This window comes from Homo sapiens, chromosome X, assembly GCF_000001405.40.
Source record: "Homo sapiens chromosome X, GRCh38.p14 Primary Assembly".
Lineage (NCBI taxonomy): Eukaryota > Metazoa > Chordata > Mammalia > Primates > Hominidae > Homo > Homo sapiens.
In genome coordinates, this window is record NC_000023.11 from 10,676,843 (window position 1) to 10,691,901 (window position 15,059).

Sequence of the window (15,059 nt, forward strand, 5' to 3'; positions counted from 1 at the left end):
AGGTCATGGCGAGGCACGGAGGTGTGCATTTGCTTCTTCCTATATCTCCAAACCCTGGTCACTATCCCTCAGGGATGGGAGAGGGGACACCTCAGCTTCAAACTTCATCTGAGTCTTATGACCCTTTATACTCCCTCCCATAACAGAGTAATTCCAAACGAGTTATGTAGAAATCAGCTAGACGCTTCCCAAATCTATCTGGCACCTCATTTTAAGAGCCCTTGACAATTTATAGCAGCTGCTTGTTTTTAACTTATCCAAAAGCTGAAAACAGATTGCAAACATCAAGAAAAGGTGGAATATCATATATGAAAAAGTGATCGATATGTACTATCAAACATCTGGAAAATTACTGTCTTTATGAAAATTCATTTTTTTAAAAATCATGTTTCTAAAATACCAAATAAAATTGCTAAGTTGTAAGGCATGACCTTCTTTAAGATATGGATTTTACCTTATCTTCCCAGGACAGGATTTGCACTTGCATTTGAAAATAATATTCACACTTTATAAATTCAAATCCTCTTCTAACTTAAGGCAAATATCTTACATATATTCCAGATATGCTATAATCAATCTGGAATTCCCACTTACCCCTCCAGTTTTTAAAAAGAAGACTTACCTTTTTATTACGTCATTTAAAACCCTGAAACGAATAAACCACAGTGGAGACAAGCAGATGGCAGTCTTCTACATTTTGCAATGAGGGCTGTTTGCCTTGGAGTCATTATTTCTAAGGAGACGCTGCTGTGCTTGTGCCTGTGTTCGGCAGCATGCCATTTGGGGCTTTGAAACAAAATGAATCAGCTTCACACCACCAGCTCCACTACATACTAACACTTCAGAATACCCAAACTGGGGCAGGCTGCCTCTTTCATAGTGACCCTGCATAGAATCAGAGGTGACGGTTTGATGGATGAGTTTCCCAAGAGACAATGCAATCTGTGACATCACAGTTCTGGCCGCACCCCCCACCCCAGGCCCCTGTCCTGCCTCTCCTCTCCAGAAAAAAAAATTGCCTCTGCTTGGTGACAATGCCATCTCAATAGCAAAAATGAGTCTGAGGTGCATAGCAAATGCTATAACTTAGCTATCTTTCTTAACCTCAGTTTTCTGATTCCCCTTTGCTGGAGTAATGGGAGTAGGATGAGATGAACATACTAGGCAGAGAATTCAGACAAAACCAAACAAAAGCACAGAACTCAATATTCTAAAAAGTTTGTAACATGATAGCAGAATAATAACCTTCAAAAGGAGCACTACTGAACACTAGCTCAATGATACTAATATCTTTGTTATACGCAATTTAAGACATTTTGCCATAAAATTATATGTAAGCAACTACAAAAATACTTAAAGTGTCTATATCATGTGTTTCAGCCTTACTAGAACTCATTTAGCATCATAATTTTCTTGATATAAAATAGTTTCCTTTCCCTCCTTTTCCTTGGCCATTTTGCTCTATTCTCAGTTGTTCTCTGTACCAGTACCTGCCACCGGTCTTAACATTTAAAATAATACCTGGATAATCCATTTGAATTTTGGATACAAACTTACTTGTGAGTAAAAGCTCTAATATCTTTCTGACTCTCACCATCACCTCTATCCTTTTCACCTACATTCATCTCAGATGTCCAGTACAAAGAGAGTAAAAAATCTAGAAGATATTTATGTCTGTATCTATAGCTACACCTATATATCTCTATGATCAATAAATGTATCTACATAAACATTTTAAAAACCTTTTCCATGGCAAAATAAAACAGCATATGTCAAGTCAAAAGAAATAATGAACTGGGACAGAGGGCCCATCTCCTTCATGTTTAATGAATGCCTAAACTTGGAAAAGAGAAAAAAACCTACCACCCAAAAGAAAAACGGGCAAAGGTTATGAAACAAAAGGAGACATATAATTAGTCTTTAAATGCATGGAAAGGTGTTCTTTCTCACTTGCAATAAAATCAATGTAAATTAAAACTACACCGAAGTATAATTTATTGCCTGTCAGAGTGGACTAAATTCAAAGGTTTGGCTCATACACCATTGATGAGGCTCTGGGGAAATGGGCACTTTTATAGGTTGCTGCTGGGAGTATAATATACCACCACCAATCTGGGGTTGGGGGAGAGATTTGGCAATCTAACAAATTTATAGATGCATGGACCCTTCCTCCCAGCAATCCCACTTCTAGGCACCTATTCTACACAATCACCAGAGAAAGCAAGAAATGTCATATTTTCAAGCAATACAAGGAACCCACACAAATGGGCAGCAGTAGATTGACTAATCTGTGGCATATCTATATAGTGAAGTACTATGCAATGGCAAAATGGAATATCAGATCTCTATGTACTAATATAGACAGATGCCCAGGCAATGAAAACAAAGTGCTGAAGAGGGCATGGGGCTGAGGGAAATAAGAGAGGTGCAGTGGGAGGATGAAGTCTATATATGCATAGGCTTGTATTTGCAAAAACAGGAACTCTCGAAGGATCAATAAGAATCTAATAAAGATAGTTTCTTATAGGGGAAGGGAAGGATTGTGGTTAAAAGGGCAGAAACAGACGTGAGATTCCTGTAGGTTTACTCATCCTCTTATGTCAGGAGTGGGCAAACTATGGTCTGAGGGCCAAATCGATCCTTTGCCTGTTGGTATAAATAAAGGTGTATTAGTACACAGCCATGTCCGTTCATTTGAGTATTGTCCATGGCTGTGTTTGTGCAACAATGGCACTGTTGAGTAGTTGCAGTATTGAACTGCTTGGTCCACAGAGCTGAAAATGTTTACTCTCTGGCCCTTTCCACAAAAAGTTTGTTGACCCCTATTGCTGTGTAATGAGTTTTAGCATAAGTCAAGAGACAAACTGAAGAGGATGGGATAGACTTCCGTGGTTTCTACTTTAAAAGATCTTAAGTTGAGTCCTGGCTGTCTCTGCCTCGTTACTTAGCTTTCTTCGACTTGCTTTCTTCACCTACAAAGTGATGAAGGTAATGCTGACCCCTTGGTTTTGTTATGAAGATTAAATGAAACAATGAAAACAAATGTGAAAGCACCTTGTGAACTACTATACAAACCTCAGATATTATTATTACTATTCTTTATGAGAAGGTGACAGGTAATACACACACGTAATTAGTAAAGAATTAGAATAGCCATGGCACTTAAAAACTTTGCAGCACTTAATGCAAAAGCATTACCTTAAAACTTGCATCTACATTTTAAAGCAACAATTGTATCAGCTATGGTCACATGGTAACTCAGCTCTTCCTATTCTCCACAACCAGTTAAGCCATTGTATCTGCTCATCTGACAACACTGATTCAGAGTGTAAAACCCTACTCAGGGCAAGGTCTTCAGACTGCAGTAGAATTATTTAGCCTTCAGAGAGCTCAAGAAAAATTTCTAGGCTTGAAGATACGTATCTTTACGTTCTTGAAGTTAAAATTCATCAGATAAAGTTATCTTACCATGAAGAGGGGTATATTAGTGACCAAGGGTATTTGGGAACCATCTGGGGATTATATTTGACAAATATGGAAGCAGACTTCAGTAAGACTTTCACCCTCAAAATTCGTGTTTGCATAATCACTTTAAAAAATTTAAATGTTTGAATGTATTATCTTTAAGTTAAAAGCCAGAACTTCTTTATGATAGAATTACCAGTTTTGTGGGGTTTTTTGTTTTTTGTTTTTTCTATACTCAGTGATCTTTCCTTTTCAGTCATGGAATTTGTAGTGATTGATTTTGCCATAGCATTTTAGGTTTAACTATTTTTAGGTCATACATATTTGTGAACTACTAAACTACGTTAAATTGAACTGCCAAAAGCTCACATCAAAGTTCCTTAAAATATTCATATCCTTTGGCCTGCACTTCTACTTCTGGGAAATAATATTGAGGAAATAAGGTGGCTGGGCACGGTGGCTCACGCCTACAATCCTAGCACTTTGAGAGGCTAAGGTGAGCCGATTGAGCTCAGGAGTTCAAGATCAGCCTAGGCAACATGGTGAAACCCCGTCACTACCAAAAATAAAAATAAAAAAATGCACTGGGTGTGGTGGCGCGGCCTGTATTCAGCAGGCTGAGGTGGGAGGATGGCTTGAGTCCAGGAGGTGGAGGTTGCAGTGAGCTGAGATTGTGCCACTGCACTTCAGCCTAGGTGACAGAGCCAGACCCTGTCTCAATAATAATAATAATAATAATAATAATAATAATAATAATAATAATAATAATGCTACACACACTATTGTGTTCACAGACGTATATATATGTGATGTTTGTATTAAAGGCAACAACAACAGCAACATCAAAACACTTTGTGACAATAAAAATGTCTAAAATTAAGGAATTGGTTACAAAAATTGTGGTATGGTCATTCAAAGGCCTATCGCTAGTCCTTTTATCTACTGCTGCATAACAAACCACCTGGACACTTAGTGGCTTAAAGCAAGCCATGTGTATTTTGCTCACAAGTCTGTGATTTTTGGAAGGGCTCAGTGGGTACAGCCACCTCTGCCCTATTTGGCACCAGCTGCTGTGGCTCGAAGTCTAGAGGCTGCAGTCATCTGGAGACTCGCTCATTGCGTGGCTGACAGTTGATGCTGGTTGTTGCCTGAGACCTCAGTGGGAGCTGTCAGCTGGAACATATATATACAGTTTCTCCATGTGGCTTGGGCTCCCTCACAACATGCTGTCTGGGTTCCAAGGGTGAATGTTCTAAGAGGAGGCTAGGCAGAAGTCATATCACCTTTTACAATCTCTCTTGGAAATCACATGGTGTTACTTCTGCTGGACTGAGGCAGTCATAAAACTTCACCCATGTTCAAGGTAAGGGGCCATATATTCTACCTCTTGGTGGGGCATGGTGAGGTTCAGAAAGTATGCGGGGGCGAATGGAAAGGTTGCTGTTGTCATTTTGGAGAGTACAATCACTTGTAATTATACAGTCATTAAAATGATATAGCACATCCAAATTTATTCACACGAAAGGACATTCAAATGATAGTGAATGCTGAGTTGGCAGTGTAGCTATGGTGTCATTCAGTAGAAATAACACTGGCACTTAATAGACACTCAATAAACATTTGTTGAATAAACCTTTGTGTAAAAACAAATAATATCTTTTGTTTGTGCCTATAGTGAAAACATTCTGTGAGAAGCTACATCAAAATGTTAATATGAGTTGGGCACGGTGGCTCATGCCTGTAATCCTAGCACTTTGGGAGGTGGAAATGGGAGGATCGCTTGAGCCCAGGAGTTCAAAACCAGCCTAAGCAACATAGTGAGACCCCATCTCAATAAAAAAAAATGTTAATATTGGTTATATTTCTGTGATGGGATTGCAATTTAACTTTTCTAAGATTGTGAGCTTATAATATTCTTATAATAAATGTGCATAGAAAATTAAACTGTATTTCAAAATGAACCTCAGAGGACAATAACCTGAGTTGATTGTCAGAAAGTTTGACCTAATTTCTTTTCTTTTCCTTTCTTTTTATCTTTTTTTTTTCTTTGTAGATAATTGAAACCTAATTATTATGCTCCCTGGCAAAGCACTTTTTCTTTTTTCTGCTTGTGGGAAGAATTTATTGTTCAGCTATCTGTAAGCATTTAATTGCTGCAAAGTATTTAACGGATGTAAAAATAAAAATTTTATTTTTCATTTGTGTAACACAAGAGCACCAGCAACATAAAATGCATTTTAAAAAAGATAGCTCGTTAAAATAAATATAATTTGACTCCAAATTAGTCATACCTCAGTGAGAATAATAAATAAACTCACATTTAAATCAGTGAATTAGCAGGATATAGTTCAATGGAGACAAGGATATCAGAAAAGAAAAAGCATGGTGTTCATGTAATGTTCTATGCTGTACTCTCACTACCTTTTCCCTGATCATTAATATTTTAAAAAATATATTAAAATACAACTTATTTTTGGAAGTCAAATTGCTAACTTCTCGTATAACAATACTTTGAAAGTGCTTTTAAACCAGCTTCTAGAAGTTATATATGGACAAATTTGAATGTCAGATTACCTCTCTGGTAAGAGAGCAATCCACAGGCAAAGGGTCAAATCTGGGGCATTGGGTGGAAGTTGATTAAACACACAGTCCTGAAATAATGAGAGTCATTTGTGTGAAACTAGAAGGAGAGTATAGCTTTAACTGAACTTATAGACCAGTTTAACAGTAATCAGCTTTTAGTCAACTTTGGCATACTGTGCTCAATTGTAGTCATTTTCTCTTCCTTGATCTCAACTGAAATCTCTCATACTTTACGTGAGAGCTGTTATTTCAACCCTTGAAAGGTCACTCTTCTGAAAGAATGCTTGGATGAACTCAGCCCTGATTCTCTAGAAATAAAAAGTTTCACTTCAAATGTTTCTATCAACTCTTAATGACAGAATCATTAACATCTGGCCTGGCATGGTGGCTCACACCTGTAATCCCAGCACTTTGGGAGGCTAAAGCAGGAGGATCACTTGAGGCCAGGAATTTGATACCAGCCTGGCAATATAGTGAGCCCTGTCTCTACAAAAAAGTTTAAAAATTAGCTGAGTGTGGCATGCATCTGTAGTTGCAGCTACTCGGGAGACTGAGGTGGGAGGATCGCTTGAGCTCAGGAGGTCAAGGCTGCAGTGAGGTATGATCATGCTGCTGCACTCTAGCCCGGGCAGCACAGTGAGAACTTGATTAAAAAGAAAAAAGAAAAAGAAAAAGAATGAATCTGGAAGCTACTGTCTTTGGTCCTCCTCTTTGGATTTGGACCTTCTCTCATTATTCAATTAAATATTACACGCACAGAGACATAAACACACAAGCAAGTACTCTGTGATTTAACATGTGCTTGTAGGAGTTGAAGACTAAGTTCCAGCCATTCTGGAAGGGCAGGAGATGATCTGCACAGAAGGAATTGCACGTCATCTTTTTTTTTTTTTTTTTTTTTTTTTTTTTTGAGGCAGGCTCTCAGGCTGGAGTACAGTGGCACGACGTTGGCTCACTGCAACCTCTGCCTCCCTGGTTTGAGCAATTCTCCTGCCTCAGCCTCATGAGTAGCTGGGACTACAGGCATGTGCACGACATCTGGCTACTTTTTCTATTTTTAGTAGAGACGGGGTTTCACCATGTTGGACAGGCTGGTCTCAAACTCCTGACCTCAAGTGATCCACTTGCCTCGGCCTCCCAAAATGCTGGGATTACAGGCATGAGCCACCGTGCCTGGCAGCACTTCATCCTTTAAAAAAGATTTTGTTTCGTTTTGGCTTTTTGTTTGTTTGTTTGTAAGTTAACTGCTTTAAGGAATAAATGCTCAATGTAGAAAATGTGGATATTAAAAGATCTATCTAAGAATAAAAATCACCCATAACTAAAAAATGAAGTGACAGTCACTATTAACAGTTTGATACACATACAGGCAGATAGAGATAAAATTCAACTAGTTGGGTGTATAGTGGAGGTGTATATATTTTTAAATTGTGCCGCTTGCTTGCTTGCTTGCTTGCTTTCTCTCTTTCTTTCTTTCTCTCTTTTCTTTTCTTTCTTTCTTTCTTTCTCTTTCTTTTCTTTTTTTTTTTTTGAAATGGAGTCTCTCTCTGTCACCCAGGCTGGAGTGCAGTGGCGTGATCTCCGCTCACTGCAACCTCCACCTCCCAAGTTTAAGTGATTCTCCTGCCTCAGCCTCCTGAGCAGCTGGGACTACAGGCGTGTGCCACCATGCCGGCTATTTTTTTTTTTGTATTTTTTTTAGTAGAGATGGGGTTTCACCATGTTTACCAGGATGGTCTCGATCTCTTGACCTCGTGATCTGCCCACCTCAGCCTCCCAAAGTGCTGGGATTACAGGCGTGAGCCACCGCGCCCGGCCAATTGTGTCTTTTTCTAAGTGTCATTACTTTGGAATATGTAACAACTTTATTAGGTAAAATGTGCATATTATAAAATTTACCCATTTAAAATGACTTTTAGTAAATTTGACAAGTTATGTAGCCATCATTAAAATTCAGGTTTTTAACACCCAGTAAGACCTCTTATGCCTATTTACGGTTAATTCCTGTTCCCACCCCAAGCCCCAGGCAACTCCTTCCTGTCTCTATAGATCTGTTTTTCTGGACATTTCATATAAGTGGAATCATAGTCTTTTGTGTTTGCCTTCTTTTACTAAATAAAGTGTTTTTGAACTTCATGTTGTAACATGTATCATTACTCCTTTAGTGTTTATTGCTACATAGTATTCTATTATATACATATGCCACAACTTCTATCTTTTTAAAACTAAATATCATGTCATGAATATTTTATGTCATTAAAAATTTCATGTAAATTCCCATTTCAATGGCCATAATAGTTCATTATACTATAAAGTATTAATTTTTTCTATTGCTGTGTATTTACTATTGTTGGGACTCAGAAAACAATACCCCAAAATGAAGGCCTCAGAAGCAAAAGTTTCTCTCTGACCTTCTCCTTCCCTTCTGTCTCTCAGTCACATTCTCCCTTGAGGCTAGCCATAGAAACTAGAATCCTTCTTCCCCAAGGTGGATCATAGAAACCAAAACTGCTTTTCCCCAAAGCCAGCCATAAAATCTAAAAATATCACTCTAACTTTCCCTCCACCTTATCTGTGTAAAAACTGGCCATAACGAAATTCCCTGACATACCTTGTTTGACTGTAGGTCATAACACCCCCATTCCAGAGAGGGTCTTGCCTTACACCCAGAAGGAAGGAACGCTGCTCAGAGAGGCCAAGAAGAATCTAGACAGACAGGCCTTGCTGGGTTTCCACACTCAGTCCATTAGCTTTAGATCAGGCCCTTTTTGTCCAACCCTGTTTCTACACGCTGTCCGTGCTTTGTTGAACCTAAGCATAAAAATGGATAATTTCCCCTGTATCTTTGGGCCTTCCTTCTGAAGGCTCCTATTTGTATACATTAAATACATTTGTGTGCCTTTTCTCCAATTAATCTGTCTTTTGTGAGTTGATTTTTTCAGTGAAACTTCAGGGGACCCCTCGGCCCCTACACCCCACATACTCATACACACACACACACACACACACACACACACACACACACACACTCACCCCTACCTGTGTAGTACAAGATGGAAAGAAATAGGGTGGGATGCAGAGACACAAATCCAAAATTAGGTTTCTATCCAGTGGACCAGTGGATGAGAAGGTTTGTGTTTAACAAGGATGTGTCTGTGCCTCTTGCAGTTTCATGAGAATGTGAGCCATCTGGGAATCTGGTTAATGTGAAGACTCTGATCCTGTGGGTCTGGGGCATTGGGATGTGAGTCACTATCATCACCATGGCTCAGAGTCTGTGATCTTGAGAGCTGATGGTGGTGCTGACCATCCTTCTGGGGAAGGGGGTTTGGTGTCACCATCAACCCTTAAGGCTCGGGTGTGCTGGCTGGGCAGGGGGCTGTGTCTAAGGGGTTCGGGGTCAATGGATTAGGTTCCACCTTCTTCATCTCTTATATGCCCAAGAGACTAGGCTTCATCATCACCAATATCTTCTGCATAGATCTAGTGTTGGTCAACATGGATGACTCACTTCCAGGTTTACTGAGACCAGCAGCTTCCCACATACATTGACTACCTTTCTTATGCCCACAACATGGCCCCCACAGATGTAAAACTATGATCAAATAAAATTGTATGCCTTTTCTCCTATTAATCTGCCTCTTGTCTGAAATTTTCAGCAAACCTCCACAGGGCAAGGGTAAAGCTTTCCCTTAGTCCCAACACTATTATAAAAAATACTTTGTTGTTGCAGATTGAGGTCTCCAGAAACACATGCTGAGGTGGAATTTGGGGTGAAGATACTTACTAGAGATCCACATCAGTAAAGAGAAGGGGGAAGAAGCAAGATTGGGCAGACAAAGCAGCCAAACTGCAATCCAGGCCCTACAAATCCTTGGACAACCTGGCTGAGAGCTCTGGAACAAGCGTTGCAGATCAGAATTGTCTCATGTGGGATATAGATGGTTGTGTCTTTATGTCCCTGTCTTTCTCAGGCATCAGATGCAGGCTGCTCTGGGAAGCAGGGGACATTGGGTGAAGTGACTCTCTATAATTGTGCAGCCTCTGAGCTGTGACCTTATGGGTGGAGGTGTCTGTGGACCCCATTCCAGGAGTGAGATAGCAAGTCCTTCCTTGGAAGGGGATCTTGGCAGTGCATCTTTGTGTTTGCCCAACCCTTGGAATTGCCCGTCTAATATCCACTGTTACCTTTATTTTGACTAACAGAACACCCAAATTTCATTTGCAGCTCCGGTGTTTTACATATTCTCTGCCCTGACCTCCTTCAGAGGTAGGAAGGACCAAGTAACATAGTTGGGCCAAATAGATAGAGCCATAAATTTCTAGATAATTTTATCTAGACACGATAATTTTATCAATAAAAGAGACAAAACCTCCCAAGGATGAGTCTTTTGTCTCTTAAATTTCTCCCTTTTTCCTGCCTGGAACTTGAGACTATGAAGACAAAAGTCAGCCTAAAGAAGGCAGGGCAAGAAGCTACCTGGGTGATTTTCTCAAACAACTGTATCGGCTTGGGACTGCCAAATGCCTGGCTTCTTGCACGAGAAAAATACCCCCATCACCTTCTTTTGTTCAATTCAGTATGGTAGGGTTTCTGTTACAGGCAGCCAAATGTAGTCCTGTCTGGAACAGTATGTTAGATATGTTAGCATATACAGTAGATGTGCATTTGTGATTATTTCTTTCAGATTGAGTCCAAGTGAGAATGGTGAGTCAAAATATTTTTAAAGTTCTTTGTGCCTATTGCGAAAGCTTTACAGGAGGGTTTTACATATTTTATTTTAATCAGTAGGACATGAGATTTTCTTACTGAATTATGCCAACATTAAACATTTTTTAAAAAGACAGGGTCTTGTTCTGTCACCCAGTCTGGAGTGCAGTGACGTGATCATGGCTTGCTGCAGCCTTGACCTCCCAGGCTCAAGCAATCCTCTCACCTCAGCTTTCTGAGTAGCTGAGACCACAGGTGCTTGCCACTATGCCTACCTACTTTTTTTTCTATTTTTTGTAGAGATGGGGGTCTCCTTATGTTGCCCATGCTGGTCTTGAACTCCTGGACTCAAGTGATCCTCCTCCCGTCGCTTCCCCAGAGTGCTAGGATTACAGGCATGAGCCACTGCTCCCAGCCAATGCCAATATATTTTTTTCTTTTTGAGATGAGATCTTGCTATATTGCCTAGACTGGTCTCAAACTTTTGGCCTTAAGTGATCTTCCTACCTCAGCCTCCTACGTAGCTGGGATTACAAAGTGTGAGGCACGTGCTGGCTAAACATTTTTTTAAAATCTCTTTTATTAGGAGAAAGAGGATAGAATCACATTGCATTCTTAAATGTATACACTTTGATAATTTATGAGGTTATAAAATATTTTTATTTCCTTTTCTCTAAATTATCTATTCAAAAGTATTTTTTCCCATTTTTGTAACCAGCATTTTGGTACTTTTCTTATTAGTTTGAGCTCTTTATATAAGGATATTACTTCTATCCTCTTTCTGACAAATATTTTCCTCCTTTTTGTTGCTTGCCTTTTAATTTCATTCTTACTACTTTTTATCTTTCAGAAGGCAGAAAATTATGTTCACAAATATAGCATCAACTGTTTTGTTATTTTGTCTACGGTACTCACACCTAGACCATCCTTCCATATTTAGTGAACAAAGAAATGTACAAATCAATTTTGTCTTTTTAAAATAATTTTGCTTTTTTTCACTTGATTATTGAATTCATCTTTAATTAGTTTGTGGCATGAGGTGAGATTCAATTTTTTTTCTCAAACAGCCAATTTTCTTCATACCCATATGTTGAGTAATCTGATGGTATATGTTAAATTCATATACTGTATTATAGGAGAGACAATGCCATATGTTAAGCAAATCCCTGTCTCTTTCCCACCTTGGCACATATGAATTGAGAAAAGAAAAAGTTCAGAACAGTCTGAGCTATGTGAGGTCTGCAAAATTTATCAGGCCATACACTGTTCTTTGTGTCACAAAAATACCTATCCTCTGGCTTTTTTCTGAAAAAGCTTGTTAACCGCTGGCCTAGTCTGTATTTATTTCTCTATCTTATTTGGTGGATGGATGTTGAGTATCCAGCAGAGGATTTTGAGGATCTAGCAGGATACAGAGCTACTAGATGGAGGGAATGTGTGCCCCATTTGACAGAATGGGACAAAGTTCCCTAATGACTTCACTGAATTCTGATTAGATTATGTTACACCACTGAGGTGTTCAGACTTTACATGTGTTAATTATCTGTATCTGTATTAGTTCGTTCTCACACTGCTATAAAGAACAACCTGAGACTGGGTAATTTACAAAGAAAAGAGGTTTAATTGACTCACAGTTCTGCATGGCTGGAGAGGCCTCAGGAAACTTAACGATCATGGTGTAAGGCAAAGGGGAAGCAAGCACCTTTATCACATGTTGGAGCAGGAGAAAGAGAGAGGGTGAAGGGGGAAGTGCCACACTTTAAAATCATCAGATCTCATAAAAACTCACTTACTATCACAAGAACAGCACAGGGGAAATCCGCCCCATGATCCACCTCACCTCCCATCAGTTCCCTCCCCTGACATGTGGGGATTACAATTTGACATGAGATTTGGGTGGGGACACAAAGCCAAACCATATAAATATCTATATCTATGTATATTTATACCTACATTTATATCTATACCTACACCAAAACTTATGTCCACACCTATATATCCATATCTATACCTAAATCTCTATCTGCCTGTCTAGTCTTTTTTTCTGGGCTTTGTATTCTAGTCTTGTGATATCACCGTGTTTCAAATGTTGTAGATTTTTTTTTTTTTTACCTCTTCCTCTCCCCTTCCAAATGTAGATTTATAGTGCCTCTTCATGTGGTAGGGCCAATTTCCTTCTCCTTACACATTTTTTCCCCTTTTATTGGCTGTGCTTTCATGTCAATTCTTTTGGCCTAACTTTAGGATCATTTTGTCAATATCTGGAAAGAATTTCATTGAAATTGCTTCAAAAGAATTTAATTAGAGAATTGGGCTAAATCCTAAAAGACAAGTACTCTTTATAGACAGAGAAAATAACATGTGTAAAAACTTGGAGTGTCCAGAAAACAGGAAATTTGGAGTGCTTGTTAACTCTTGGATTCATGTCTAAGGAGTGACAGGAAATGAGGGGCAGGGTGGGTGGGAGGCAAGTTATGACAATACCAACAACAATGACAACCCTCAGTTAGACTTTCAGCTAACTGTAATCAAGATGCTGAGAGTTGTTCAAGCATTACCTCAGTTAATCCTTCCCAAATATCTATGAGGTCAACACGATTTGCAACTCCATTTGACAAAGGAGACTTGGGCTTTGAGGTGTTAAGTACCTGGCTAGAGATCTCTTGGCTAGCAAGTAGTAGAGTCAATATTACAATTCAATTCAGCCTGACTTCAAAAAGCAGTATTTCCAAACCGGGCTAAAATGATTCCAATACATCATGTATGCAAAAAGAAACCATTGAAAGATTATAAGAAGAGAATCGTAAGAAGAGATTTGCACTTTGTGACAATAAGGCTGTTAGCGTTATCCTTCTAAAATATGAATTCAAGAAACTAGGTATAATGGTGGCTACTTTAGCAACATCATATTCCTACTGCTTGTATAATTGAAATCTTAATGACCAGTGCTCACCACCGACTTCAGTCCTACAATATGTGGTTACCAAGCATTCAGTCAGGCTTCCCCTTCAAACCACTTACTACATTTGAGGTGAAGTCTATTCTTTGGGTTCAGGTCCTGTGTGATCTTGGGTGAATCACTGTACCTCTTGGTGCCTCAGTTTCCTCACCTGCATACTCAGAGGGAGGGACTAGAGATCTGTAAGGCAGTTTTCCCAAGTACTGCTCCATGTCAAAGGATTCCCTGGTCTAAATCGAAATGGGCAAAATAAGAACCATATACAGAGTTGTTCTTGGAAGGCAATTTATTCAATGGAAAGGACTCTCTTTTATTCTGAGATTGTACCAGTTACACTTTTGTGTTGTTAGGCATTCTTTTTAGTGCTTTGAAATGATGGTGATAGTGGATGGCATCTCTATTTGTGATGGCTTTTACTGGAATCCCTACCACTGTCTCCTTGTGATTTAACTCACAGGCCCAGGATCCTCAGGAGTGTGGGAACTACATTCTGGCAGTCTTCTAATACAATATTTTAGCTCAGTGCTGTCTAATAGAAAAATGTGAGCCATATACAGCATTTCAAATTTTCTAGTGGCCACATTATAAAAGTAGGAAGAAACATGAAATTAATTTTAATAGTGCATTTTATTTAACTCAATATATATCCATAATACAATAATTCCAACATATAGTCAATATAAAAATTATTCATGGGCCAGGTGCAGTGGCTCACACCTGTAATCCCAGCACTTTGGGAGGCCAAGGCGGGCAGATCACCTGAGGTCAGGAGTTCGAGACCTGTTGTGGGAAGTCAGGGACCCTGAATGGAGGGACCAGCTAGAGCTGAGGCAGAAGAACATAAATTGTGAAGATTTCATGGACACTTATCAGTTCCCAAAATTAATACTTTTATAATTTCTTATGCCTGTCATTACTGCAATCTCTGAACATAAATTGTGAAGATTTCATGGACATTTATCCCTTCCCCAATCAATAGTCTTATAATTTCTTAAGCCTGTCTTTACTTTAATCTCTTAATCCTGTTATCTTCATAAGCTGAGAATGTACGTCACCTCAAGACCATTATTGTACAAATTGATTGTAAAATATGTGTGTTTAAACAATATGAAATCAGTGCACCCTGAAAAAGAACAGAATAACAGCGATTTTCAGGGAACAAGGAAAGATAACCATAAGGTCTGGCTGCCTGCAGGGTCAGGCAGAATAGAGCATATTTTTCTTCTCACAGAAAGCCTATAGATGGATGTGTGAGGAGGAGAAATATCGCTGAATTCTTTTCCCAGCAAGGAATGTTAATAATTGATACCCTGGGGCAGGAATGCATTCCTTGGGGGAGGT

General features: G+C 39.2%; 1 protein-coding gene across 2 annotated transcripts in view; it reads right to left on the reverse strand.

The window, feature by feature from the left end:
• MID1 (midline 1) overlaps positions 1-15,059 on the reverse strand; it is a 388,374-nt gene that overhangs the window by 231,533 nt on the left and 141,782 nt on the right. Inside the window, exon 1 of one of the 2 annotated variants that reach the window (NM_001098624.2) lies at positions 623-897. The exons of the other annotated variant lie outside the window; for it this stretch is intronic. The gene's annotated coding sequence lies outside the window, so the exon portion shown is untranslated. Of the gene's footprint in view, positions 1-622; positions 898-15,059 lie in introns of those variants that run through there. 2 annotated transcript variants of the gene reach the window in all.